This window comes from Homo sapiens, chromosome 11 (assembly GCF_000001405.40).
Source record: "Homo sapiens chromosome 11, GRCh38.p14 Primary Assembly".
Taxonomy (NCBI): domain Eukaryota; kingdom Metazoa; phylum Chordata; class Mammalia; order Primates; family Hominidae; genus Homo; species Homo sapiens.
The window spans coordinates 119,400,748-119,428,634 of record NC_000011.10 but is presented as its reverse complement, the minus strand read 5'-3'; the positions used below and the strand labels follow the sequence as shown (position 1 = coordinate 119,428,634).

Here is a 27,887-nt window from a genome sequence, read left to right as displayed (position 1 = left end):
CCATTGCCTGATACTGAAACTGGCAATGAGATCTGGTTTTCTTTTCCACCTAACAAACTGAGCAGGTCCTTTTGTAGCTCAGCTCTCTTGTAATACTTTATCATGCCAACTAGAAGCACCCAAATGACACTTGGAGCATTCTGTCTCCAGGTCCCTTTAGCCAAATCTACAAATTCATTAAGCACTTCTTCTGTTGTCTAAGTTGCCACGAGAAATTTTGTTTTTGCCAGTTGTTTCACCACTACCTGAGTCACCCTTGTTCCAGCCACCAAAGAGTCCCTCCTTACTTGAAATTGCCTGGAGCCAGGCATGGTGGCTGCAGGTGGATAGCCAGATGTTTTCCATGTTGGCTCCAAGAGTGAGTGTTCTGGCAAAAAGGATAGAAGCTATGTGGCCTTCTAAGGCCTCAGTGCAGAAGTCTCTTAGCATCACATCTGTCCTACTCTATTAGCTGAAGCAGTCACAAGCCCACTGAGATTTAAGACAAGGGGACATAGATGTCACCTCTTTTTTTTTTTTTTTTTTGAGACGGAGTCTCGCTCTGTCGCCCAGGCTGGAGTGCAGTGGCTGCCATCTCGGCTCACTGCAACCTCTGCCTCCCAGGTTCACGCCATTCTCCTGCCTCAGCCTCCCGAGTAGCTGGGACTACAGGCACCCGCCATCACGCCCGGCTAATTTTTTATATTTGTAGTAGAGACGGGGTTTCACTGTATTAACCAGGATGGTCTCGATCTCCTGACCTCATGATCCGCCCACCTCAGCCTCCTAAAGTACTCAGATTACAGGCATGAGCCACCGCGCCCGGCCTAGATGTCACCTCTTGATGAAGGAATGTCAAAGAATTTGTGTCCACATTTTAGAATCACCACGGTAGCCTTATCTGGGTGGCTCATTTCTCTTCTGTATGGCATCACTTGGAATTACACATGCTTTTGTGGTCCCATGACAGGTCACATGCCTGTGTGGTCCCATGGCAGGTCACAGGCCTGTGTGGTCCCATGGCAGGTCAACTGGGGGCTGGCAGATCCCAAATGGTGATTGATGTAAACTGAGATAGTTCAGACTCCCTCAAGTGGCAACTGAACTCCAAAAAAGCAAGCTCCAACGTACAAACATTTCACAAGCTTCTGCTTTCATCACATTTGCTGATGGCCCATTGGCCAAAGCAAGGCACGTGGCCAAGCCCAGAATCAGCACGGAAGGGATTACACAAAAGCATGGACACCGGGCGGGGGGGGGCATGACTCACTGGAGGCCATTGATGTGACAGTCTACCATACCTGGGCAACTCCCATTTATCTTTAAAAGCTCAGTTCATGCCTGGCCTCCAAGAAGCCCTCTCTGACAGATTGGGTCATCACCTGTCCCTCCTCTGGACTCCCACAGTACCCTTTACACGTCTCTACCTCTGTGTCTACCCTCTTTTTTCTAATTATCTATGTATCATTTCTGTTTCCCCCATTGGAACAAGCCTTTGAGATGGTGTTCTACTAATCTTTGTATACCTAGCGTCTAGCCCCGTGCCTTGGAACATTATTGGTACCAATAATGTCTTAATTATTTGGTCAATTAAACCATCCATGAATAAAGTTTTTAAAATAACTATCAAAGATTAAAGTGTCTCCATTGGTGCCTTCTCTCAACTTCTGCCCTGCATTCCAAGAAATAATGTTTAGTTTGTATTTGTCACATTCTCCAACCAAATATGCAGTTCTTCAGGGAGCTGACCTTGCTCAGGAAGTTGACCTCGACTAGAGGTTAGGAGAGGTAGCGGAGTGTAGAGCAGCAGTTCCAAGATATTTTAATTTCATAGACTTAGTCACATTTCCAAAGAAGTGTGAGGGTTAACAGGAAGTTACCAATTTTCTTTTTTTTATATATAAAGTAGGACATTAAAAACCACACATACACACATATCAATACCACCATCTCTTCAGAAAAATGGAAAGGTATAACCTTAGAATGAAAGTATAGGAAAGGCAGGTGTATAGTCTCAATTAGTCAAAGATTAGAGCTCAGTATTATGGCTGCCTTGATATCAGGGAGACCTCAAATGGCCTAATTACAAGATCCCCTCCCTACTTTGCTGATGAGGTCCCCCAGCCAAACCACCCTCCTTATTGTGGGGGCCAGGCACAATTTCTGCTTAACCCTGAGTACTGGGCTTCAGCACCCTGCCAGCCCACAGAATTATGCAAACAGCCAATCACATTCTCTTACAGGAAACGGGGGCATTCCACCGTTTTGACATTACAAAGCCTGCCTCCCACAGCTCCTGGTAATACCTGTTTCTGAGTGCAACTCCCATGAAGCAGTTCATGGCGTGCAGTGTTATCCTCCCAGGTATGAGCATATGTGACTAATAAACTGCTATTGCTCTCATTCGTCCAGTGTTGAGGTCATGTGATCCCCCTAACTTTAGGGGATGGGAATCTCTCCCTCATCAACAGGGTGAAGAACATAAAATCAAAACAAGGTGATAACCTGACAGCTATGTTCAGAGTACCCCGGACTGTCCTCGTTTTACTTATTTCACCGTGAACCAGGGAAATGAGTCTAGCAGAGATCTGAGGGTCCGCCCTGGGAGCACTGGAGAGCACAGTGGGAACATGGAGTCAGGAGACTTAAGATCTAATAGTCCAGACCATGCTTCAAAATATTTGTCTGACCTTGACAAATCATTACCTTTCTCGGGCCTCAAGTCCCAGCTATAAAATAGTGGGGCAAGCCAGGTGCAGTGGCTCCCACCTGTAATCCCAGCATTTTGAGAGGCCAGGCGGGAGGATTACTTGAGCCCAGGAGTTCAAGATCAGCCTGGGCAACATGGTGAGATCCCATCTCTACAAAAAAAAAAAAAAAAAATTAATTAGCTGGGCATAGTGTCAAGTGCCTATTGTCCCAGCTACTCAGGAGGCTGAGGTAGGAGGATCACTTGAGCCCAGGAGGTCAAAGCTTCAGTGAGTGGTGATTGCACCACTGCACTCTAGCCTAGGCAACAGAGTGAGACCCTGGCTCAAAAATAAAATAAAATAAAATTTAAAAGATGGGACCACTGTAGTCACCTCTGTGATTCTAGAAAGACAATCTGATGAAATGAGGGAATGGCTGGCAGTCCCTAGGTCATGCTAAAGGACTGTGTGTTTTTAGAAGAGTTTTTATCCCCATATGTTTCTGGGTGGGAAAACAGGAGATGGTGGGAAAAGAGAGATCTAAGAGACCAACAGGGCAGCCGCAGTCTTCTGGCAGGAAGTCTTGCCTTAGCTGGATTCCTCTAAAGCCTTGCTGGTTTCAGCACTCCGATCCTATCCACAGTAAATGGAGTTTTAAAATCTCCTCCCTCCACCACCTTGTGCTCTATCCCCTGACCTCAGATGTCTAATCAGAGCCATTAATTCCATCCAATCAGAGATCTTGCTTGGCAGACACAGAATTGCCACACCTTCTACAGTCTATACTCCCCTCCCCTGCCTAAAAGCAAGGTGCTTGGGGACCCAGAAATTAGGCCAGGTCCTCATAACCTTATCAAAATAGCACTGCTAGGCCTTCCACCCAGCAACACTCAGAGACAGGGCCAAAGAGTGGGAAACGGAGCATCCAGGGCCTCAGCCAGCAGAGCCCAGATGCCTTCTGCAGTTAAGATCCCTGGACTCAGAATCAGAAAGCTGTTAAGCAGGAAGGAGTGCGCTGCCATGAAGAGGCAGACAGAAGCCAGAGCCAGTGTGTCTGGAATGCATCAGGTAGATGAATGGGAAGATGGCTGGGATGGAGTTGGAGGGAGGAGGGAAGTCAGCAGCCAGGGGCCAGGACATTCATGGCCTTAAAAAGTATCCTACAAACAAGAAGCCAGGTTAGCTCACCTATGAAGAGGGACAGTCTTACCAGATCATGTGTTAGAGTCCCCAGATCCTGGGGAGCGTGAGAAAAGTGCAGACTCAGCTGGCTCTAGTACTAGATTAAGGAGGTCCTAGGTGGGCAAGGCCAGCTGCATTTTTCATAAAATGCCCTAGAAACCTCTGCAGTTTACCAAAGTGAATAGCTCCTTTGGACTTAACCATCTGCAAGGCTCATTCCAGTTAGAGTGTTCCATCACCCTAAATGCTGGGAAACCAAGCGAATCTCCTCCCACTTGCAAGCTTCCAACAGTGGCTTCCAACAGTGCCACTGCAGTATCAGAAACTGCAGGGAAGGTGCCAGGGCTGACTTCCATGAAGAAATAGGAGAACAGGCAGGCAGACATTGGGGAGGCCCACAGAATGTCGTGATCAGAATTCATAAAGAGGCTGGCAGGATACAAATCAATCAAATAAACGTTAGTTCAAAAAAATTCACTACACCTGTGAGTGAGAGAAAGTCATCAGCACTGTCTCTAAAAATGAGCCTAGGGCTTCTGGTGACATCCAATCGGTGGGTTATCAGGAGTGCCCCAGGTGATCAGGAGTTGGCCTCGACTCAGTCCTTTTTGTGCTGTCTCCTCCTCTTTCCCAGAGTTCCTCTCTCTCTTCTCCCACTAGGCAGGGATGAGCAAGAGGAATGGCTCACCCTTGAGAGCTGGGGTCCATAGCCCAGGTCAGTTCTCCAGCTCTCCCACTTACCAGCCAAGACAGGAGGTGAGGATTGAGATGGGATGAACCCAGCAGGCGGCCATGGGTTAAAGGTCGCCATGAATGTAATGTGCCCAGCACAGTGCCTGCTAAAAGGCAACACTCCCTTCCTGGTCTGAAGACCAAACAAGCAGACTGTACTCAGGAAAGCCAGAAGAACCTTCCAGCTGTCTGGACCAGAAGGTGCCAGCCCAGGGGCTGAAGAAGACGTAATGCCCAGAGCAAAAAGCGCCTGCAGCCCCCTGAAGGGCTGGGTGCTCTGGAATAGATGAGGGGGCGAAATGGGGCTGGGGACCAGGGACGGACAGGGTGGGTCCAGCACCTGCCTCGCTTCCGAAGGGCTGCTCCAACACTGAAAAACACCCAACCAGCTTCCTTTCAGAAAGACTGGAATATTCCAAAACTTCTCACTGGAGGCTCCGGAGGAGGTGGGCTCCAGCTGAAAAGGAAATGTGGAGGCGTGGGCGCTCCCGGCCTGCATCCTGCACCTCTTACACTTTGGTTTTCCCACAGACTCCTGAAGAATAGGTCAGAAGAAAGGGTTAAAGCCTTAAAAGGGGAACAACCATTGCGGGGCTCAGGGAGGAGGATAATGTTCTTTGGGCTGCCGCACCCTGATCCCCGGGGTCCCGAACCCTCCCGTCCCTGGCCAGGCCTGCCAGCCACAGGGTGAGGGCCCCCTTCCGCCGCAACCTGCCACTCTCACACCAATGCGGGACCGCCTTCTCTTCCTTCCCCACCCCCCACCCCACCCTGCCGTCCTTTCTCCCCCAATCTCCGCCTCTGATTGGCTGAGCCCCCGGCTCCCCGCTCCCCCTCTCCTCCATCCCCGGTGAAAACTGCGGGCTCCGAGCTGGGTGCAGCAACCGGAGGCGGCGGCGCGTCTGGAGGAGGCTGCAGCAGCGGAAGACCCCAGTCCAGGTGGGAACTGGAGCCGGTGGGACCTGGGGCTCGGGGACCGCCGTCAGGCGCCCATGCAAGACTTCCCAACACTAGGCTTCGGGCCACGGTCCGAGGGCGCCCAGGGAAGAAGGGCGCAGAGCTTAGGGAGGGGCCTGCTTTCCAGGCAGGGGCGGGAGGGGGATGCTTCTGCAGGGCAGGGGCCGCGTGGCACCCTGATGTCTTTCGGGGAAGGCGCTCCCGGGCTTTCGCCCGCTGGGGGACTGGTGTCTGGGGCTGGGGCGCTGGAGAACAGGGAGGAAGGGCACCAAGGACAGCCTGTGGGTCTACATTCCACCCAGACGTCCCCAAACCCAGCTCGCAGAGGCGGGGAGGAGGACGGATGAAACTGCGGGGAGAGGATGGAGGATGGCGAGCTAGAGGGAATCTGCCGGGTGACCTCGCGGCGGGCTGGGTGCGGGGCACCGGAGGAGAAGGAAGCCGCAGTGCCGCAGGCGGGGACTGGGTGGAAGGCGGGCGGACGGGGGAGGGGAGAGCTGGAAAAGGATGAGAGAGGGGGAAGGGGGACTCATTTGGGAAAGGAGAGGATTGGAATACGGAAATGGATTAAGGATGAGGCCCGCCGGGGGCTTGAGAGGGAGGAAGAGCAGACCTTCTCTGGGTCTGGAGCCGCCTGAGGACACAGACCAGAGGAAATGAATACAGACTGCACCTCCCCAGCCGCTCTCCACCCCTCCCCTGGCTCTTCTACCCTCTCCAGCCCCAGACCCATTTCTTCCCTTTCTTGCTCTGGCCATTGCTCCCCCTTCCCCTCCTAGATCCCAAGCCCGCACAACATCTCAAACAAGAGTCCTCGATTCAAAAGCCAGATGCCGACCCCCCTTCCTCCTGGATCTGGCTCAGGGCAGCAGCTCCACCCCGGGACAGAGAGAGCATTGATTGTAGCTGCAGCCGCCGCGGGATCCTAGCCTCACCCGTCAAGGGGCTGAGCGCCAGGGACCCTGAACTCGTCTAGTGGTGCGCCCTGCGCACCCGGGCGCACTCAACCGAGGCAATGCCCTGCGCGCTCTCGCGGGTGCACGCCCCTTCTGTGGCCTCTCCTGGGCGAGCACTGCTCTGCAGATAGGCTAGACTACCGGCTCCGCGTCGCCTCGCCAAGGGTTGGTTCAGCCAAGGCTGCAAAAAACAAAAAAAGACCAGGCAGACAGCCTATCCAGGGTGGCTATTGAAACTGGGCTGGAAAACTGCAGTCCCAGGAACTCCAGAGAGCTGGACATTGGGAAGCATCCTTGGCTCACATACAATCGGAGATCACTATGTCTTTCTCTCCTCCAGGAACACGATTAGCTTGTGTCCTATCCAGATAGGAATAGATGCTCCCTATCTGGGAGCATCCTTAGCTATGGTGAATGGTATCTAGCCATCCACTGGGGATGGCGAGTGACTTAGGGATTTGTGTCTCACGTATATGAAGCAGTCATCGCCAGATGTTGGTTGTTTTTCTTAACCCCCATCATAACCCGGTGGGTATGTAAGATTCAGAGAGATTCATTCATTCATTCACAATAAATATCTTTGGAGTGTATGCTATATGCCAGTAATCTGCAAACGGAAACGGTTTTGAGCATTGGGGATTTTCTTCTGAACAGGAAATGGGAAGTCCCTAAATGGGGAGTCTTTGTTTAACAGATACAGAGTTTTACTTTGAAAGACAAAAAGAGTTCCGGAGATGGGCTGCATAGCAACGTGAATGTATCCAGCACTGCTGAATATACTGAATTTAAGTACTGAATTTAAATGGTTAAAATAGTAATTATTATGCTTTTTGTATTTTACCACGATTAAATTTTTTTTTTAAATACGAAGCCTCAGCCCTCATAGGTCTTATATTACCATACACTATGTTAATGTAAGAAGAGGAGAAAGAGTGGTAAAGTTACTTAAAGTCACCCAGCTAGTAAGTGCTCCATGGCCAAGCGCAGAAACACACCGTGACTGGGCTTGTTCTCCCTCCTTCCTTGCTTTCCCTGAGCAGGAAAGAGCCAGTGGCAGTATCATGTTCAGTGAGATGCAGGGACGAGAGGGGGAATGGAGAGAGGGACTTAGATGACTGCCATAGCCACTATGCCATGTTCCCAGGGACCCCCAGCCCTGGTGGTAAGTGTGGCACAGCTTGGCTGATTCCCATCCTGTTCCCACCCCAGATCCAGGACTGAGATCCCAGAACCATGAACCTGGCCATCAGCATCGCTCTCCTGCTAACAGGTACCCGGCATGGGGCAGGACTGGGGCTCCAGGCGCCCTGGCTTCCTTCCCTCCAGAGAAGCAGCTTCTCCCTCACAGTCTCAGAAAAGCGCAGGTGACAAAGAGAGGGCTCTTTTTCATCCTGAAGTCAGCCAATCCACCGCGCTGATATTCTGACGGCCTGAGGTGGTTTTTGAAAACACAGTTTGCTGAGCCCTCCTTCACACTATTGAACTAGAATCCCCAACTGAGAACCCGGAACCAGCATCAACTCCCTAAGATCTCCTGTCCTTGAAACACATTGATAGGATCCAAGGCTCAAGCAGAGTGGGGAGGGAGGCTGGGGTCTGCAAAGGAGAAGTGGGATCCCTGGGGTGGGGAAAGGCACTCAGAGAGCAGACCCCGGTCCCCTCCCTAGCCAGGCCCATCTCTCCACTTCAGGTGGGTGGGAGGCCCCTGTGCCGCAGGCCCCTCCAGTTTGAAGGAGGCACTGCTGGTGCCAGTCTTGCAGGTCTCCCGAGGGCAGAAGGTGACCAGCCTAACGGCCTGCCTAGTGGACCAGAGCCTTCGTCTGGACTGCCGCCATGAGAATACCAGCAGTTCACCCATCCAGTACGAGTTCAGCCTGACCCGTGAGACAAAGAAGCACGTGCTCTTTGGCACTGTGGGGGTGCCTGAGCACACATACCGCTCCCGAACCAACTTCACCAGCAAATACAACATGAAGGTCCTCTACTTATCCGCCTTCACTAGCAAGGACGAGGGCACCTACACGTGTGCACTCCACCACTCTGGCCATTCCCCACCCATCTCCTCCCAGAACGTCACAGTGCTCAGAGGTGAGACAAGCCCCTAACAAGGTCAAGTGAGCTGGGAGAGCCAGGCTCGGGGACAGCAGGCAGTTCCCTTGGCTGGACTAGAGAGGAGAATAGCCCCATAACGCTCTCACCCTCTCCCAACTGCTGCCTGGTCAACTGGGGAACCATTGCCTTCGGTGTGAATGGGGTGAAGAGCTCAGGGCCAGACAGGCAGAGCAGTGTGGTTCCACCAGAACTGTGGGCAAGGCCTTTGGCCTCCCTAATCTTCCTTCTCCCAGCGGGAAAACAGGGATGACACCACCTCCCTCAGCCAGTTTTCTTGTCATGATGTTTAGTAAGGTTTTCATAAGATGATATGTGTGCAAGAGATCAGTAATCTGCAAATGGGAAAGATGGCTGGTTCTGTGAGACCGGGCTGTTCCTGGTCCCAGCTAAGACATTGCAGTACCCACCTCCCAAAGGGAGTACACCCTTGCTTTGGGCCTGTGCCTGCCTGAGTCCTGATCCGTCTTCCTTCCTACCCTGCCCCCGGCCCCCTTCTCTTTCTGCAGACAAACTGGTCAAGTGTGAGGGCATCAGCCTGCTGGCTCAGAACACCTCGTGGCTGCTGCTGCTCCTGCTCTCCCTCTCCCTCCTCCAGGCCACGGATTTCATGTCCCTGTGACTGGTGGGGCCCATGGAGGAGACAGGAAGCCTCAAGTTCCAGTGCAGAGATCCTACTTCTCTGAGTCAGCTGACCCCCTCCCCCCAATCCCTCAAACCTTGAGGAGAAGTGGGGACCCCACCCCTCATCAGGAGTTCCAGTGCTGCATGCGATTATCTACCCACGTCCACGCGGCCACCTCACCCTCTCCGCACACCTCTGGCTGTCTTTTTGTACTTTTTGTTCCAGAGCTGCTTCTGTCTGGTTTATTTAGGTTTTATCCTTCCTTTTCTTTGAGAGTTCGTGAAGAGGGAAGCCAGGATTGGGGACCTGATGGAGAGTGAGAGCATGTGAGGGGTAGTGGGATGGTGGGGTACCAGCCACTGGAGGGGTCATCCTTGCCCATCGGGACCAGAAACCTGGGAGAGACTTGGATGAGGAGTGGTTGGGCTGTGCCTGGGCCTAGCACGGACATGGTCTGTCCTGACAGCACTCCTCGGCAGGCATGGCTGGTGCCTGAAGACCCCAGATGTGAGGGCACCACCAAGAATTTGTGGCCTACCTTGTGAGGGAGAGAACTGAGCATCTCCAGCATTCTCAGCCACAACCAAAAAAAAATAAAAAGGGCAGCCCTCCTTACCACTGTGGAAGTCCCTCAGAGGCCTTGGGGCATGACCCAGTGAAGATGCAGGTTTGACCAGGAAAGCAGCGCTAGTGGAGGGTTGGAGAAGGAGGTAAAGGATGAGGGTTCATCATCCCTCCCTGCCTAAGGAAGCTAAAAGCATGGCCCTGCTGCCCCTCCCTGCCTCCACCCACAGTGGAGAGGGCTACAAAGGAGGACAAGACCCTCTCAGGCTGTCCCAAGCTCCCAAGAGCTTCCAGAGCTCTGACCCACAGCCTCCAAGTCAGGTGGGGTGGAGTCCCAGAGCTGCACAGGGTTTGGCCCAAGTTTCTAAGGGAGGCACTTCCTCCCCTCGCCCATCAGTGCCAGCCCCTGCTGGCTGGTGCCTGAGCCCCTCAGACAGCCCCCTGCCCCGCAGGCCTGCCTTCTCAGGGACTTCTGCGGGGCCTGAGGCAAGCCATGGAGTGAGACCCAGGAGCCGGACACTTCTCAGGAAATGGCTTTTCCCAACCCCCAGCCCCCACCCGGTGGTTCTTCCTGTTCTGTGACTGTGTATAGTGCCACCACAGCTTATGGCATCTCATTGAGGACAAAGAAAACTGCACAATAAAACCAAGCCTCTGGAATCTGTCCTCGTGTCCACCTGGCCTTCGCTCCTCCAGCAGTGCCTGCCTGCCCCCGCTTCGCTGGGGTCTCCACGGGTGAGGCTGGGGAACGCCACCTCTTCCTCTTCCCTGACTTCTCCCCAACCACTTAGTAGCAACGCTACCCCAGGGGCTAATGACTGCACACTGGGCTTCTTTTCAGAATGACCCTAACGAGACACATTTGCCCAAATAAACGAACATCCCATGTCTGCTGACTCACCTGGCTGGAACAACATGCTTACTGCCAACATGTGGGCCGAACCACATGGCCCTGGCTCTGGAATGCACAAGTGGCTTTGCGTGAATCTGCGCTAAGCTATGCAGTCTGCTTTTTCTTCTCAGCTCTGGTAGTTCTTCAGAAATGTACCCTCCAGGCACATCCACTATTGCGAGGGTGAGCACGAAGGGTGGGAGATGCCCATGTCCTCAAGGCATCACTTCCTAAATCCAAAAGCATCGGCAGGAGAAAGGACTGGGGACAAATACTGTCCCTTCGGGAGTAGGGAGGGAACACTGAGGCCCATCCCTGGCTCCTTCCCTAAAAGTAGAGTAAAATGGAAGCGAGCATCCTGGGATTGGGGGCAAGAGGGGGACCGCAGGGTAGCTGTGGGTTCCAACTGCTGTCAGAGTCAGAGAGGCAGCCCCAAGCCAGCCTCCCTGCTTTGCCAGGGAATTTGGGGGAGGAAGGTGACAGCTGCCCAGAGGCTGACTCATCTGATATTTAGCACTGGGTAGGATGATTGTTTCTGAGCATTTTTCTTAAAGGCCTCAGATCTAAATTATGCCACCGGCTCCCACTCTTGCTACCTCCCGTCAACTTCTCTGCCTTGCCTTCCACCCCTGTAGTTACCATACACAGAGGAGGAGGAGCTGTCCTTGTCCCAGGTTGGGAGGCTGACAACCCCTTAGCAAGATGCTGCCAGCCCAGAGCTCTCCAAGGGGAGGAACACCCCTGAGACTCAGGCCCCTCTCCTTCAGCCCTGCTTGGGCTGCAAGCGCCGTGCCAAGGAAAGGCATCTTGGTGAGAAGAGCTGCTGTGGGGGAAGGGAGATCAAATGCCAGAGAAATGTGGGGTGCCCCACCCTCAGGATAGTAAAAGAGTATGGAGGTATTTCTGGAAGGAAATGAGCGGCACTGTGTGAAGCCTCGCACCTGTGTGACACTTCCTATGGGGTCTTTGTCACACTCTAGTACTATGTCCCTGAAGAGTTTAGCAGCCACACTCTTAGAAGGGTGCTGGGAGATGGTGTTGCCCTCTGCAGCCATGTTTAGGGGAGCGGAACCTGAGGCCCACAGTGGGTGAGATTAGCTCAAGAAGCCACAGAGGCCACCAGAGGGCCACGGACTTCGGAAAGGAGAAGAGAAGAACAGGGCATCAGGCCTCACAACGCAAACCTACCCAGAGATGGGCACAGTGGCTCATGCCTGTAATCCCACCACTTTGGGAAGAGGCGGATCGCTTGAGGTCAGGAGTTCGAGACTAGCCTCGAAACCCTATCTCTACTAAAAATACAAAAATTAGCCAGGCATGGTGGCCTGCGCCTGTAATCCCAGCTACTCAGGAGGCTGAGGCAGGAGAATCACTTGAACCCGGGAGGCGGAGGTTGCAGTGAGCCAAGATTGCACCACTGCACTCCAGCCTGGGAGATAGAGTGAGACTCCATCTCAAAAAAATAAAAAATAAAATAAACCTACCCGGAATGACCATGCTGAGGACTGGGAGCCCGCAGACTTTCAGCCACAGGCCGCGACAGCCGTGGGTCCCTCCCTGGTCAAGTCAGCAGGCCTTGTGGAGGCTGTGGGGTATCTGTGGTGACTCAGGTAATTATAGAGGGCTGGCCCCCAGCCCTGGTTCCTGTACACATGCCCCAACCCCATCCCCATCCACTCCCTCGCCAGTCCTAACCTCTTTCCTGGGTCCCCCCCCTTCAGCACCTAAGTCCATACCTAGGGCCGTGGAATTCCCGCTCAAGAGCAACAGAAGCCCCTCTCTGCACCCCCATTTCTGGACTGGATTGTCCACTGAGACGCGCAATGTCTGCATCTCTGACATCTAGAGGCTTCCTCGGGAAGGGCATGGGGATCTCCGTGAGATGTGGGGACTTTCACTGGCCAACCAAGAAATCTACACAGCGTCCGGGGACCTGTGACACACATCCCTCCCGCCTCCTCAACCTGATGTCCCTCTCTGAATCTGCAGCTTTCGTGCTGTGAAGGTGTCTTTACATGTGAAACAAACAAACCCAAGTCAAGAGTAAATCATCTCATTTACTAGTGAGAAAATGTTGGAGCTGGAGTCCTTCAGAGAGTCCTGGCCAGGCAAGAGGGCCATCAGCTCTCTTCTGCTCAACAGGGGCTCTCAGCCTCAGGACACTCTCAGGCCTGGAATGTCCCCAACACACTCAAGGAGAAACATGTCCTGTGCAGACCCACAGGAGGCATCTTTGCCCGGCACAAGGAAGAGCTGGGGTCAGTGGGACCTGTAGATGTAGACACATCATATGGAGGGTGGGTAGGACCAATGTGGCAGCTTCATGGAGGCCAAGTGTGGCTCTGCACCAGGAAGGGGCTGTGATGGCTGGAGGTGCCCAGCAGTGCAGGCGGGGAGTGCCTGGCAGTGGCGTGGCCAGGTGGAGGCCACCTGTCAAGTTTGCAATAAAGCAGTTTCCTGAATTTGGTGAGAACATGGACTAGAGGACTCTAGCCTCTTCCCCCTTTAGGGTTTCACTTCAGTAAGTCTTAAAATTAGAGTGTGGTGACTCACGCCTGTAATCCCAGCACTTTGGGAGGCCAAGGCAGGTGGATCACTTGAGGTCAGGAGTTTGAGACCATCCTGGCCAACATGCAGAAACCCTGTCTCTACTAAAAAAAAAAAATAAGTAAATAAATAAAAATTAGCCAGGTGTGGTGGTGCACGGCTGTAATCCCAGCTACTTGGGAGGCTGAGGCAGGAGAATCACTTGAACCCAGGAGGCGGAGGTTGTGGGCCGAGATCATGCCACTGCACTCCAGCCTGGGTGGCAGAGTGAGATTCAGTCTCAAAAAAAAAAAAAAAGGATTAGAGCTTGGTGCAGTGGCAGCCACCTGTAATCCCAACTTCTTGAGAAGCTGAGATGGGAGGCCCCCCTTGAGCCCAGAAGTTTGAGGCCAGCCTAAGCAACACTGTGAGACCTTGTCTCAAAAAAATAATAAAAACAATAATTCTTAAAATAAGCTGACTGGGCTGAAATCATGTATTTGTACAACAAACATTAAGCATCTAAATGCACCTGGCTCTGTGCTAAGCTATAAAAGACACAAGCCCCTAACTGAAGGGGTCCACAGTCCAATAAGAGGGAGGAATCAATTTCAGTGCAGTGATCAGCACTATGAGGAGGGGAAGTTGTGGAAGACACCAGTGGGGGTTCCCCAACATGCATTATCCTCTTCCTTCTCAGCAATGGGACCCATAAACTAGAACTGAAATGTGTGATCCAGAAGAAAGACTATTTCCCAGTTCCATTGCAGTGAGATGGGCCTATGTGATTAAGTTCTGTCCAATGGGATATAAGCACAAAATAGTATGTGTAATTTCTGTGAAGAGCTCTAAAAGAGAGAAAGTGTGCCTTTCTCCCACTTTCACCTTATGCTAGCTGGAATGTGGAGGTGATGGCTGGAACTGGAGCAGCTATTTTGTACTATGAGATAGATGGAAGTTGTGTGTTACAAATGACAAAGCACAAGATAGGAGCCTGAGTCCTCCATGATGGTGGAGCTGTCAGGGAAGCCGTGGACAACCTTATTTAAGTGACTGTTATTTGGGCTTTTCTGCATTCATCGCTAACTAAACCTAAAACTACCTTAAAAAGAAACTGCAGGCCCGGCACAGTGGCTAACGCCTGTAATCTCAGCACTTTGGGAGGCTGTGGCGGGTGGATTGCTTGAGCCCAGGAGTTCAAGGTGAGCCTGGGCAAGGTGGCAAAACCCCATCTCTACAAAAAATACAAAAATTAGCTGGGCATGATGGCACATGTCTGTAGTCTCAGCTACTCAGGTAGCTGAGGTGGGAGGATTGATTGAGCCTGGGAGTTTGAGGCTTCAGTGAGCCAAGATCACACCACCACACTCCAGGGTAACAGAATGAGACCCTGTCTTCAAAAAAAAAAAAAAAAAAAAAAAGCTGCTACTTAACACTGCTGAATCTTACACTTAAAAATGGTTAAGATTGTAATTTATAACTTTTTAACCACAACTTTTTAAAAGAAGCCAAAGGTCAAATTAATAGAGATAGAAAATAGAATGGTGGTTGCCAGGAGCTGTGGGGAAAGGGAATGGGGAGTTATTGTTTAATGGGCACAGAGTTTTGGATTTGCAAGATGAAAACAGTTCCATGGATGGGTGGTGGCGATGGCAGCACAACAGTGCAAATGTACATAATGCCACTGAACCGTATACTTTTTTAAAAATAGAGGTGGGGTTTCACTATGTTGCCCAGGCTGGTTTCAAACTCCTGGGCTGAAGTGATCCTCCCCCCTCAGCCTCCCAAAGTGCTGGGATTGCAGGTGTGAGCCACCACACCCAGCCTGAATCGTACACTTAAAGGTGGCTGAGATGGTAAATTTTATATTCAGTGTATTTTATCACGATATTAAAGAAATAGAAGAAGCCAAGGCACCAGGAAACTCTTTGGAGTGGTTACCTTTATCAAAACTCATCAAACTGTGCACTTAAAATAGGTGAATTTCATTGAATATAAATTACACCTTATCAAAGTGCTGTGGGAACACATATGTAGGGCCCTTTTGCCAGGCGACAGCGGCTTCCCAGAGGAGGAGTCATGAGTAAGAGTGCAAAAAGCAGCCTCTACTATTTTGCAAACTAATTGCAAAAAAAGAAATTTTATGTTATTTCTTCTATACTCTGCAAAACCAGGGAAAAGGGAGAGGAAGCCATCGTGGGTTCAGTCTGAGGACAGGACTTAGCTCCTCTCTAGGTTAACACACAACTGCTGGTGGATATAACAGCTCTTAGAGCACACAGGCCCATCAGAAGAATCCCTGATCCAGTCAATATTTATTCAAACATTTATTAGGTGCACACTCCATGCCAGGCCTTATGTGGGGTAATGAGACTAGAACAGTGGATGGTACAGACAATCTCTTGTTCTATAACATTTATATTCTAGTATGGGAGTTGGATATTAAGCAAGTAAACCAATCAATAAATCAAATAATTATAGATTGGGATCATTTATATATAGAAGATAATAAAGAATAATAAGTGACATAGCCAGGCATAGTGGCTCACGCCTGTAATCCTAGAACTTTGAGAGGCCAAGGTGGGAGAATTGCTTGAGCCCAGGAGTTTGAGGCAAGCCTGGGTGACATAGTGAGACTTTGTCTCTAAAAAATAATAACAATATTAAGTGACCTATTAGTTAGGGTGATGAGGGAGAGCCCAAGGGAGTGTCCTTTGAGCTGAGACTTCAAAGGTGAGAACAAGCCAGCCATTGGAAGAGCTGCAGGAAGCACAGCCAGATGGAGGGAATGGTAAGGAGTGGTCCATGATGTTACTGAAGAGGCAGACAAGAGCCGGATTCAATAGGAGCCTTGGAGGTCATGGTGAAGAGTTTGAATTTTATTGTAAGGGTAACAGGGAAGTGTTGAAGGATGTGATCTGGTCATATTTTTATAAGATCCCTCTTGCTGCTCTGTAGAAACATAAAGGAGAATGACAGTAGAACAAGAAATCAGGAGGACATTGCCATGGTCCTAAAATAGATGACAGCAACTTTGACAAAAGTTGTAGTGGTTAAGATAGACAGAAGCGGTGACTTCAAGATACGTTTAGAGTTAAAACAGAGAGGACTGGGGAAATCTAAATAAGGTCTGTGGATTTTACCAATATCAATTTCCAGTTTTGATACTGTACTCCAATTATACAAAATGTTGCCATTGGGGGAAACTGGGTGAAGGGTACATGAGACCTCTAACCTCTGCACCCCAAGGGTACAGACAAGACCTCTCTGTACTATTTATGCAATTTCTTGTAAACCTATAATTTACTTTAAATATTTTTAAATATTTTAAATTTTCAACACAACCCAAAAAAAAAAAAAGATGGCAAATATTTAACTCCAGAGGGAGGAGAAAAGAATGCTCATAACAGGTTAGATGGATTTACTGTGAATAATATTTACGTAGTCATACTGATATAAACATTCCCTTTGGTCTGAATGTTTGTGTCACTCAAAATTCAAAATTCATCTTTTGAAATCCTAAACCCCAAGGTGATGATATTTGGAGGTGGGCTCTTTGGGAGGTGATTAGGTCATCAGGGTGAACCCCTAATGAATGAGATTAGTCTCCTTATAAAAGAGGCCCCACAGAGATCCCATACTCCTTCCACTACATGAGGCCACAGCAAGAAGACGCTGTCTATAAATCAGAAAGTGGGCCCTCAACAGGTACTAAGTCTGCAGCACCTAGAGCTTAGACTTCCCAGCCTCTAGAACTCTGAGAAATAAATTTCTGTTGTTTATAAGCTGCCCAGTCTGTGGTATTTTGTCATAGCAGTATGAATGGACTAAGGTAACACTAAATAGGGATTTTAACCAAAAATTATGATGACGATATATTGGAGGATGGGAAAAGGTTAAGTGTATGTATTTGGTGAAGGAGAAAATGGGCATATAAGAAAGCTAAAACCACATTTTCCATAGTTGAAAGTCAACAGAGGCTGGGCATGGTGGTTCACACCTGTAATCCCAGCACTTTGAGAGGTCAAGGCAGGTGGATCACTTGAAGTCAGGTGTTTGAGACCAGCCTGGCCAACATGGTAAACCCCATCTCTACTAAAAATACAAAAATTAGCTGGGTGTGGTGGCACATGCCTGTAATCCCAGCTACTCAGGAGGCTGAGGCAGGAGAATCACTTGAACCCGGGAGCTTTGGTTGCAGTGAGCTGAGACCATGCCACTGCACTCCAGCCTGGACAACAAGAGCGAAACTCCACCTCAAAAAAAAAAAAAAAAGAAATGTCAATAGATCCTACTTAACACTGAAAAAAAAATCAAGAAATAGTTCTATATGTATAAAATATACTTTATATACTTTTATATGTTACATACTTTATATATATACACTTTATATATATATATACATATATATGAGAGAAATTTTTAAACATAGAAGTAAATAGCAGAAGAAATAGCTAGAGTTGAGAGGGTTGCTTTGGGGAGTAAGAATTTAGGATGGGGTAACAGACTGCTTTTATATTATAAAACTAGTAATACTTTTTTGTCACTATAAATGTATTGGTTTGCTAAACAATATAAATCAAATATATCTAAAGAAATACCTTAAATGTTTGGCAAAAAAAAAAAAACCCCACAGGACTTGCTTACTGGTGGTTTGGCTGTTTCAGGGATGGATTGAGAGGAAGTGAGAAGGAATCTAGGATGATCCTTGGGCTCTTGTTTGAACAAGTGGATGATGACGACATCTGTTGAGAAAGAAAAGGCTGGGGAAGCATTGAGGTGGGAAAGCAGATATATTAAATCTGTGATGCCCATTAGACATCCAAATGGAAGCATCAAGAAAACAGCTGGATATCCCAGTCCTGAGCAAGAGGTAAGAGGTCCAGGCTAGAAACAAAAGTATGCTGGAAATTTTATTTGGATGGTAGACATCGACCATGGGACGAGTAAGATCATGCAGGCAGACATGACAGAGGAATAATTCTATAATTCTAGGCCCAGAGTAGAATCTGAGACAGTCCAATATTTAGGCTTTTGAGGGTGCAAAAGAGATTAAAGAGCAGTCAGTGAAGAAAGAGGAAATCCAGGGGTCTGTGGAGCCAAAGAAGGGAGAGTTTTGAAAAACAGTGATCAACTGGGTCAACTGCTATGAAGTCAAGTAAGATGAGGACCAATGCGCTGGTGACTATGGTAGCTAGTCTCCAAAGATGGCCTCCTATGTAAACTGGGCCCCTGGGTAATCCCTTCTGTTGAATCTGGCATGGCCTTGTCTTGCTTATGACCAACAGTATATAGTAGAAGTCACATGGCATGACTTCCAAGCCTGGCTCATAAGAAGTCTTGCAGCTTCCACCTGGTTCTCCTGGAATGCTCACTCCTGGGACACTCCCTCCTGGAACCCAGCTGCCATTCTGAGAAGCCCAAGCCACACAGAGTGGCCACATATAGGCACTCAAGTTGCCAGCACAAGCTAAGCTCCCACCCAACAGCCACCATCCACTGCCAGCCATGTGAGTGAGCCATCTTGGATGTCCAGCTCAGCTGAGGCTTCAGACGACTCCAGTCCCAGCTGTTGACTGCAACCTCATGAGAAACAGACCCCAAGAAGAATTTCCCAGCTGAGCCCAGTCAACCACAGAAGTATGAGACATAATAAATTGTTTTTTAAAGATACTAAATTTTGAGGAGGTTATTACACAGCAATAGGTAGCCAGAATAGTGACTTTGACAAGAGTCACTTTTGACGGTCCAGTGGTAACAGGAGCCAGGTTGGAAGTGGGTGAATGAAAGTGAATGAAGAGTGTAGACTTCTTTCTCAGGAAGTGTGGCTGTGACTGATGTGGGAAGTGGAGTCCAGGAGAGTCCGTTTATGTTGAAGATGGGCAATCCTGGAGTATGGCTGTATGTTGATGGCGATGATGCCTGGAGACAGGGAAAGACTGATGAATAAGAGGGAGAAGAAAGCGAAGAATTAGAGTCTTTGGAAAGGCAAGAGCTAGAATTAAAGGCAAAGAAAGGTGGGTGCAGCAGCTCATGCCTATAATCCCAGCACTTTGGGAAGTTGAGATGGGATGATCACTTGAGGCCAGAAGTTTGAGACCAGCCTGGGCAACATAGCAGGACCACATCTCTACCAAAAAAAAAAAAAAAAAAAAGTTATTTAAAAAAAAGTTAAAGAAGATGGGTAAGGAAGTGGAAATTTTGTGAAGTTGAAGTTTCTTGGCTTTGCATATAAGTGTTCTCTCCTTTCTCAAGGAAGTATATGGCAAAGTCATCAGCCGAATGAGATGGTGGGAATATGGAGAGGAGGCGGGGGAAAGTTTGATAAAAAGAGCTAATATAAAATAGTCATATCAGAAAGTGGGAGTGGTAGCAGAATTCTAAAAATAGCCTCCTGAGATTCCACATCCAATGCATGGAAACTGAATGTGATGAGATTTTACTTCCATGACTGTGTTTCGTTATATGGCATAGCTGATCCTCAGAGACAGAGATAAGATGATCTGGGTAGTCATAATTGAATAACATGAGCCCTTAAAAGCAGAGAAACTTCTCTGGCTAATGGCAGCAGAGGGCCTCCGGGAACATCAAGGAACCAGGCAAAAGGTACCCACGGAGCCCCTTGAGCTCCCTGCTTTCTCACAGCTTCTGGAGGTCCCAGATAAGTCCCTCTTGGATTTCTGCCTCTGCAATTTGCATCCTGAACTCTCTGAATTCAAGTAATTTTATTTATGATTGGATCCAAGGGTTGACCTGGATGTTTGACAGGAACTGGATTGTATTCAGTCTACATCTGGAATCCAGACTGGAATCCAGAAATCAAACTGGGTGTTCAACAGGAACTGAACTGGATCTAGCTGGAGACCTCAGGAAAGCACAATTTTAGGACAGAATTTAGATTGTCAGAATCTAAGGAGTCTAGGACTCCTCCATCTAGAACTCCAGCTAATTTTATGTTCAGAAATTATGGGCCCAGAACCTGTGCCTTTCTAGAGAAACAGGTATACCTCAGGAAGATTAGCAGAATGACAGCAACCACAATGGGGAAGTTTTATTCTAGATGAGATTTTATTTGGGCTGAGTGCAGTGACTCATGCCTGTAATACCAGCACTTTGGGAGGCCGAGGCAGGTAGATCGCTTGAGCTCAGGAATTTGAGACCAGCCTGGGCAACATGGTGAAACCCTGTCTCTACAAAAAATACAAAAATTAGCTGGGTGTGGTGGTGTGCCCCTGTAGTCCCAGCTACTTAGGAGGCTGAGATGAGAGGATCACTTGAGCCCAGGAGGTCGAGGCTGCAGTGAGCTGTGTTTGTGCCACTGTACTGCAGCCTGGGCAAAGAGCAAGACCCTGTCTCAAAAAAACAAAAAAGAAAGATTCATTTATGTGTGCATTAGAAAAAAAGGGGAGGATCTTGAAGGCCTCAGAAACAATGAGATACATTTTTATTAGTATACAGAGGTTTCTAAAAGACAGAATGACTTTTTTTTAAAGTAGGCCCTCTAAAGGAATCTCTACTGCCTGCTAATGAAAAATTATTCTGAACTCACTAACCTCTGTGATCTCTTGCTCTTTTAAAAATTTTTCAATTTATTTTAATTTTTAATTGACAAATAATAATTATACAGGCTGGGCATGGTGGCTCATGCCTGTAATCCTGGCACTTTGGGAGGCCAAGGCAGGAGGATAGCTTGAGCCTGAGTTCGAGGCTCCAGTGAGCTATGATGGCTCCAGCCTGGGCACTCCAGCCTGGGCAACACAGCAATACCCTGTCTCGAATAATAATAATTATTATGATTATTGCATACATTCATAGAGTACATAGTGATATTTTGATACATATAATGTATGCTGATAAGATCAGGATAATTAGCATATCCATCTCAAACATTAATCATTTATTTGTGTTGGGAACATTCAATATCCTCCTTCTAGCTATTTGAAACTATAGAGTATATTGTTGCTAACTATAGTCATCCCGCAGTGCTGTAGAACAGGGTTCCCCAGCCCCCGGGCCATGGACCTGTACCAATCCATGGCCTATTAGGAACCCAACAACACAGCAGGAGGTGAGCAGCAGGAGAGTGAGCGTTACCACCTGAGCCCCGCCTCCCGTCACATCAGCATTAGATTCTCACAGGAGCGTGAACCCTATTGTGAAATGTGCAAGCGAGGGATCTAGGCTGCACGCTCCTTATGAGAATCTAACTAATGCCTGATGATCTAAAGTGGAATGGTTTCATCCTGAAACCATCTGCCGCAGCCCCTCACCCAGTCCATGGAAAAACTGTCTTCCATGAAACTGGTCCCTGGTGCCAAAAAGGTTGGGGACAGCTGCTATAGAACACTAGAACTTATTCCTCCTGTCTAGCTTGTAATTTTGTATCCTTTAAGAAGTCTCTCCATCCCCACATTCCCTCTACCCTTCCCAGCCTCCAATATCCTCTGTTATCTACTTTTTGTTTCTATGAGATCAACTTTTTTTTTTTTTTTTTTTTTTTGAGACGAAGTCTTGTTCTGTCGCCCAGGCTGGAGTGCAGTGGCGCGATCTCAGCTCACTGCAAGCTCCACCTCCCGGGTTCACACCATTCTCCTGCCTCAGCCTCCCGAGTAGCTGGGACTACAGGCACCCGCCACCACACCCGGCTAATTTTTTGTATTTTTAGTAGAGACGGGGTTTCACTGTGTTAGCCAGGATGGTCTCGATCTCCTGACCTCGTGATCCGCCCGCCTCAGCCTCCCAAAGTGGAGATCAACTTTTTTTAGCTTCCACATATGAATAAGAACATGCAGTGTTTAACTTTCTATTCCTGGCCTATTTCACTTAACATAATATCCTCCAGTTCCATCCACATTGCCATGAATGACAGGATTTCATTCTTTTTATGGCTGAATAGTATGCCATGGTGTTTATATACCACATTTTCTTTATCCATTCATCTGTTGTTGGACACCTAGGTTGAGCCCATATCTTAGCTATCATAAATAGTGCTGCAATAAACATGGGGGTGCAAGGTGTCTCTCCAATATAATGATTTTTTTTTCCTTTGGATAAATTCCCAGTAGTTGGACTGCCAGATCATATGGTAGTTCTATTTGTAGTTTTTTAAGGAACCTCCACACGCCCCACAGCATAATGGTTATACTAATTTGCATTCCCACCAACAGCATATGAGTTCCCTTTTCCCTACATCCTTGCCAGCATTTGTCATTTTCTGTCTACTTGATTATAGCCATCCTAACTGGGTGAGATGATACCTCATTGTGGTTTTGATTTGCATTCCCCTAGTGACTAGTGATAGTGAGCATTTTTTATGTTTTTGTCAGCCATTTGTATGTCTTTTTTTTTTTTTATAAGAGTTGTTTTTTGTTTTTTTCTGTTAATACCTTCGTTATGCCAGGTACAATGGCTCACGCCTATAATCTCAGCACTTTGGGAGGCCGAGACAGGTGGATTGCTTAAGCCCAGGAGTTCTAGACCAGCCTGGGCAACATGGTGAAACCCCATCTCTACAAAAAATACAAAAATTAGACGGGAGTGGTGGCACATGCCTGTAGTCCCAGCTGCTTGGAAGGCTGAGGTGGGAGGATAGCTTGAGCCCAGGAGGCAGAGGTTGCAGTGAGCAGAGACTGTGCCACTGCACTCAGCCTGAATGACAGAGTGATAGCCTGTCTCAAAAATTTAAAAATACCTTCATTACATTTATAAAAACAAGATTTACACAGCACCCCATCAAAAATTAAAACCCCTGGCCGGGCACGGTGGCTCATGCCTGTAATCCCAGCACTTCGGGAGGCCGAGGCAGGTGGATCACTTGTTAGGAGTTCAAGGCCTGCCTGACCAACATGGTGAAATCTCACCTCTACTAAAAAACATACAAAAGTAGCCAGGCATGTTGGCACATGCCTGTAATCCTAGCTACTGGGGAGGCTGAGGCAGGAGAATCGCTTGAACCCGGGAGGCAGAGGTTGCAGTGAGCTGAGATCGCGCCATTGCACTCCAGCCTGGGCAACAAGAGCGAAACTCTGTCTAAAAAAAAAAAAAAAGTAAAACCCCTTACAAATATCTACATATATTTTATATCCATAAAACTTTCAAAGGAGTGCTCTGTTAAAGGTGGGCCCTAGCTAGCAGTCCATTTACTGGTGCAGCAAAATACATATAAATTTGTAGTTTTCTTTGTCCACAAAACATCTCAAGAAATTATCAAGACATTCATTGTGAAACTGAGCTTCATAAAACCACAATATTTCGGAAAGGAATTTGATGTGCAGCATTCCATGAGATTCAAAAGTCAGATAAACAGATTGAAATAAAGATTAATTGAAAACAAACACATACCACAGAGCAGTTAAGGCAGGAGTGTGACAGATGAGAAAAATTGCTTGAGAAGCAGGACATGGGAGACATGGGAAGGAGCAAATCATAATAATGCATTGTGAGTCTGAACTTGGATATAAACTCTACTAGTATCTACTGACTAACTCTCATTCTCGCTTAGGAATTTCAAAATTTTAAAAACTTTCTTGGAAGCACCCTCCACTTTCTATATTGCCACCAGAATGCTTGAGGGGTTTTTTTCCTTCTGTAAAATCACCTTGGATCCTATCAGGTTACTAAGTTCATAAATCTGAGTTGCAAGTTCTACACGATTTAAATTTATAAGAAAAAGCTCCTTCATATAATAAAGGTAATCACTATTAAATATTATTAATGTCCAGAGATGTATATATGTTGAGTTTCATTCTAGCCAAGAATAGGAAGTAGAGAAAGTAAAAGGAGAGTAAAACTAGGTTTTCATTTGACCTTTGAACAAAGGCAATAGATTCCTGAGTGACTCTTAAGAGTGGCCACTCAGCACCTATGGACTAATTAAGAGAAACAAGAAGGAAGAAAATAAGAAGGGATTCTTTACCTGAAATCTTGCCAAATATGGCAGTCCCCCTCCAATCCTGCACCTTCTGCTGGAAAGGGCATGGAAAGACTGTTGTCACTCTTACTTCAGAGTCATTACAGAAAAGCCATCCTTTCTCCCAGAGACATGACTTTTCTATTTGAGTTTTACCTTGAGAGTTGCACATTATTTGCAGAGAAGTATTCCAAACCTTACCTTATTCTAATGTACGAACAGAAAGAAAAAGAATAAGAGGAGGGAGAGGAGGAAGTGGAGAAGGATAGAGTGGGTATTTACAAAACTTGGCCCTCCCATCCAGCACCACAAAGTCTCCATGTGGTGTGGTTCCCACCTGGCTCTCAGAGATGGGATCCCCTTTTTCTGCCAAGTTATATTTCAGTGCACTGATTCTCAGGCTCCTTGAACAAAGAGAGCTCCCAGATGCTACTGTCTTGCAGCAGTGGCTCACTGTCCTCATCACTGCCCCATTCTGGGATGTTGGTCAGGCTGTCACTGCCACTGCTGCTATATTTTTGAACTCCCCTGCCTTTCCTGTATTCAGGGATGAATAAGGCAACCAGAAAAGACATAGGAACTGTACATGCCCAGGTAAAAATGGCAGGCCTGGGATGACAGCTCCCTGCAGGGTAACATCGTTAGTATTCAATTTCGGGCCCGATCTGGTCAGTTCCACATGGAACATGTAGAATATGAAGCCATACAGTGCTGGCCCCAGACCATTGCATAGTCCTCTTATTCCAGTTACGATCTCTTAGGCAACTCCTTGCCAATCTGACTCTGCATTCTGAGAGACAAAGGCATTGATTACTGGAAATGTAATGGTGAACATGGTGGCCACAGTCCCCACTGACCACATCATCCAGGCTTCAGATCCAAAAGCATACTGAGCTAACTGGAGTCTCTAAAAGCCCATGCCAAGGAAGACAATATTCTTATTCCCTAATGATCTCATCAAGATGGTAAGAAAGACCATCTGAGCCATAACAAACAATTTCTACCATAGCTATGAATGCTGCAATTTCAACAGATCCAAAACCTATGACCTGCATGAGATAAAAAAAAAAAAAAAAAAAAAACTTAAACACTGTCCTGCTTCAGGAAGGCATGCAAGAAACACAGTGATGCAGGTTAGTAAGACAGTAGAATTTTTTTCCAACTTTCTTCAATGACGCAAAAGAGACAGCTTGTTTCCAAGAAATCTGAACTCCCCGGGAAACTGTCTCATTTTCTCAGACAGAGATTCCAGAACAGCCACTAAGATGAAGCAGCTGTCCAGAGAGCAAGCCTTGCAGCAACCAGCCCGAGGCTGTCTCCACAGCTGGCAGAAAGGTGTGTTCCGATGGCCGGGCTGTTGCCCAGAGGAGCTATAAAGGTGGCTGAGGCCCAGCCATGAGCAGTACTTTGCTCTGCTCCTGAGTGACATCAGCTACACAAGTAAACATCACAGAGAATGGGGCTGAGAAGACACCAGACACAGAAATAATAGCAAAATACCACCATGGGCTGATCCTCATTAGTGGGACTGGGGAGCAGGGAAAGAAGACAGTGCAGAGGAGAAATTGTTTCTTGCTCCACACGTTGGCTAGGGTACATATGAGCAGGGAACTGGGAAGAGAACAAGCCCTTTACACCTTGAAGGAGACCATGCCTAAGGAACGTGTTGAGGAATTGTTTCGTGCAGAACAGCCAACACTGGAGGCGTCAGCAGGCCCCAGGAAGGAAGGAAGATGGCAGTGGCAGCATGGTGTCCATGTGGTCTTGGAGCTACTGGCCCACCAGACTCCTGCCTGGGGCTCCCGTGGGCTCCATGCTCACGCCACGGCCAGGCCCATGCCAGCTGGGGGTACTTGGGGACCACCACTACACCACGCAGATGGTGGCAGGGCCTGCACCTTCCTAAGCAGCAAGGCTGAAGCCAAGGAGGAAGCTCTAGGAGCTGCTGCACTGAGCGCACCCATCCAGGCTCTCTCTGGACTCTTCTTTTGAGAAATGTCTGTTCAGATCATTTGCCAATTTTTTAATTGTATCATCTGGTTTTTTACTATTGAGATACTTCAGGTCTTTGTATATTCTGAACATTAATCCCCTGTCAGATAGATAGTTTGCAAATATTTCCTCTCATTCTGTAGGCTGTCTTTTCAATTTGTTGTTCCTTTGCCGTGCAGAAGCTTTTTAGTTTGAGATAATCCCATTTGTTTATTTTTGCTTTTGTTGCCTGTCTGTTTGAGGTCTTATTCATAAAATATTTTCCCAGGCCAATATCCTGAAGGGTTTCCCCTATGTGTTCTTCTAGTAGTTTTATCATTTCCAGTCTTACATTTAGTTCTCTGATCCTTTTTGTGTTGGTTTTTGTATATGGTGAGAGGTGGGGGTCTAGTTTCATTCTTCTGCATATGGATGTCTAGTTTTCCCAGCACCATTCATTGAAGGGACTGTCCTTTCACCAGTGAGTGTTCTTGGTAACTTTGTCAAAAATCAGTTGGCTGTAGATAGGTGGATTAATTTCTGGGTGCTCTATTCTGTTTCATTGGTCTATGTGTCTGTTTTGTAGGCCAGTACTATGCTGAGTTGCTGCAGCTTTGTAGTATATCTTGAGGTCTAGAAGTGTGATCCCTCCGGTTTTGTTCTTTTTGTTCCAGATTGATTTGGCTATTCAGGATATTTTGTGAGTCCATACAAATTTTGGGATTTTTTTTCTATTTCTGTGCAGAATGTCATTGGTATTTTGATAGCGATTGCACTGAAACTGCAGATTGCTTTGGGTAGTATTGTCATTTCAACAATATTAATTCTCCTGATCCATGAACATGAGATATCTTTTCATTTGTAACTTCTTCAGTTTCTTTCATCAGTACTTTGTAGTTGTAAATGTGACTGCCTTCTTGATCTCTTTTTCAGCTAATTTGTCATTGATGTATTAAAATGCTACTGGTTTTTTATATTAATTTTGTATCCTGCAACTTTACTGAATTCGTTTATCAGTTCTAAGAATTTTTTGCTAGAGTTTTAAGGTTTTTCTGTACAGAAGATCATGTCAACTGCAAAGAGGGACAATTTGACTTCCTCCTTTCCAATGTGGATGCCCTTTATTTCCTTTTCCTTGCCTAATTGCCCTGGCTAGGACTTCCAGGACTATACTGAATAGAAGTGGTGAGAGTGAGCATCCTTGTTGTGTTCCAGTTCTTGAGGAAAAACTTTCAGCTTTTCCCCATTCAGTAAAATGTTAGCTGTGGGTTTGTCATATATGTCCTTTATTATGTTGAGATACTTTCCTTCTATACCTATTAAGAGTATTTAGCATAAAGTGATGAATTTTATCAAAAGCTTTTTTTGCATCTATTGAGAGAACCATATGTTTTTGTCCTTCATTCTATTGATATGATGTATGATGTTTATTGATTTGCATATATTGAACCATCCTTGCATTCCTGGAATAAATCCCACTGGATCATGGTGTATTATCCTTTTGATGTGTTGTTGGATTTGGCTTGCTAGCATTTTGTTGAGGATTTTTGCATCTACATTCATCAGGGATATTGACCTGTAGTTTTGTTGTTGCTGTTTTGTCCTTGTCTGGTTTTCATATCAGGATTATGTTGGTCTCATAGAATGAGTTACAAATAATTCCCCCAGCTTCAAATTTTTGGAAAAGTTTGAGAAGAATTGGTATTAATTATTCCTTAAAGGTCCAGTAGAATTGAATGCTGAAGCCATCCTGTCCTGGACTTTTCTTTGTTAGAAGACTTTTTACTACTGATTT

At 47.4% G+C, this 27,887-nt stretch overlaps 1 protein-coding gene, 1 long non-coding RNA gene and 1 pseudogene across 6 annotated transcripts in view, besides 3 other annotated features; 1 reads left to right on the top strand and 2 right to left on the bottom strand.

Annotated features, from left to right (window-relative positions):
- The window catches only part of USP2-AS1 (USP2 antisense RNA 1), a 117,456-nt gene that overhangs the window by 70,599 nt on the left and 18,970 nt on the right, over positions 1-27,887 (bottom strand). The window lies entirely within an intron of this gene.
- THY1 (Thy-1 cell surface antigen) lies at positions 3,650-13,159 on the top strand. 5 transcript variants are annotated; one of them, NM_001311162.2, is made up of 4 exons: positions 3,650-3,737; positions 7,706-7,766; positions 8,249-8,584; positions 9,115-13,159. In NM_001311162.2, exons 2-4 carry the CDS (start codon positions 7,730-7,732, stop codon positions 9,225-9,227), a joined length of 486 nt encoding a protein of 161 aa, NP_001298091.1. In that variant the 5' UTR covers positions 3,650-3,737; positions 7,706-7,729; the 3' UTR covers positions 9,228-13,159. The 5 variants fall into 5 exon arrangements, 4 of the variants coding, with proteins under 4 accessions (NP_001298091.1, NP_001358979.1, NP_006279.2 ...); NM_001372050.1 differs by lacking the exon at positions 3,650-3,737 and adding an exon at positions 5,463-5,522 and having other exon boundaries at positions 8,300-8,584; NM_006288.5 differs by lacking the exon at positions 3,650-3,737 and adding an exon at positions 5,463-5,522.
- Positions 5,585-6,150: an enhancer, noted in NCBI's record as "H3K27ac-H3K4me1 hESC enhancer chr11:119293195-119293760 (GRCh37/hg19 assembly coordinates)". NCBI's record gives its function as "activates a minimal SCP1, AML or CMV promoter by ChIP-STARR-seq in primed H9 embryonic stem cells {active_cell/tissue: H9 hESC(primed)}" and the evidence as "EXISTENCE:reporter gene assay evidence [ECO:0000049][PMID:30033119]".
- Positions 6,151-6,717: an enhancer, noted in NCBI's record as "H3K27ac-H3K4me1 hESC enhancer chr11:119292628-119293194 (GRCh37/hg19 assembly coordinates)". NCBI's record gives its function as "activates a minimal SCP1, AML or CMV promoter by ChIP-STARR-seq in primed H9 embryonic stem cells {active_cell/tissue: H9 hESC(primed)}" and the evidence as "EXISTENCE:reporter gene assay evidence [ECO:0000049][PMID:30033119]".
- Positions 8,417-8,984: an enhancer, noted in NCBI's record as "H3K27ac-H3K4me1 hESC enhancer chr11:119290361-119290928 (GRCh37/hg19 assembly coordinates)". NCBI's record gives its function as "activates a minimal SCP1, AML or CMV promoter by ChIP-STARR-seq in primed H9 embryonic stem cells {active_cell/tissue: H9 hESC(primed)}" and the evidence as "EXISTENCE:reporter gene assay evidence [ECO:0000049][PMID:30033119]".
- On the bottom strand, positions 23,247-25,885 carry LOC100130353 (solute carrier family 71 member 2 pseudogene; annotated as a pseudogene).

Excerpts from the sequence above, each read along its gene's own strand:
- THY1 (NM_001311162.2), top strand. The coding sequence starts at position 7,730 with ATGAACCTGGCCATCAGCATCGCTCTCCTGCTAACAG. Across the intron at positions 7,767-8,248 it reads CATCGCTCTCCTGCTAACAG|TCTTGCAGGTCTCCCGAGGG; the intron begins GTACCCGGCATG and ends TGCTGGTGCCAG. Across the intron at positions 8,585-9,114 it reads GAACGTCACAGTGCTCAGAG|ACAAACTGGTCAAGTGTGAG; the intron begins GTGAGACAAGCC and ends CTCTTTCTGCAG.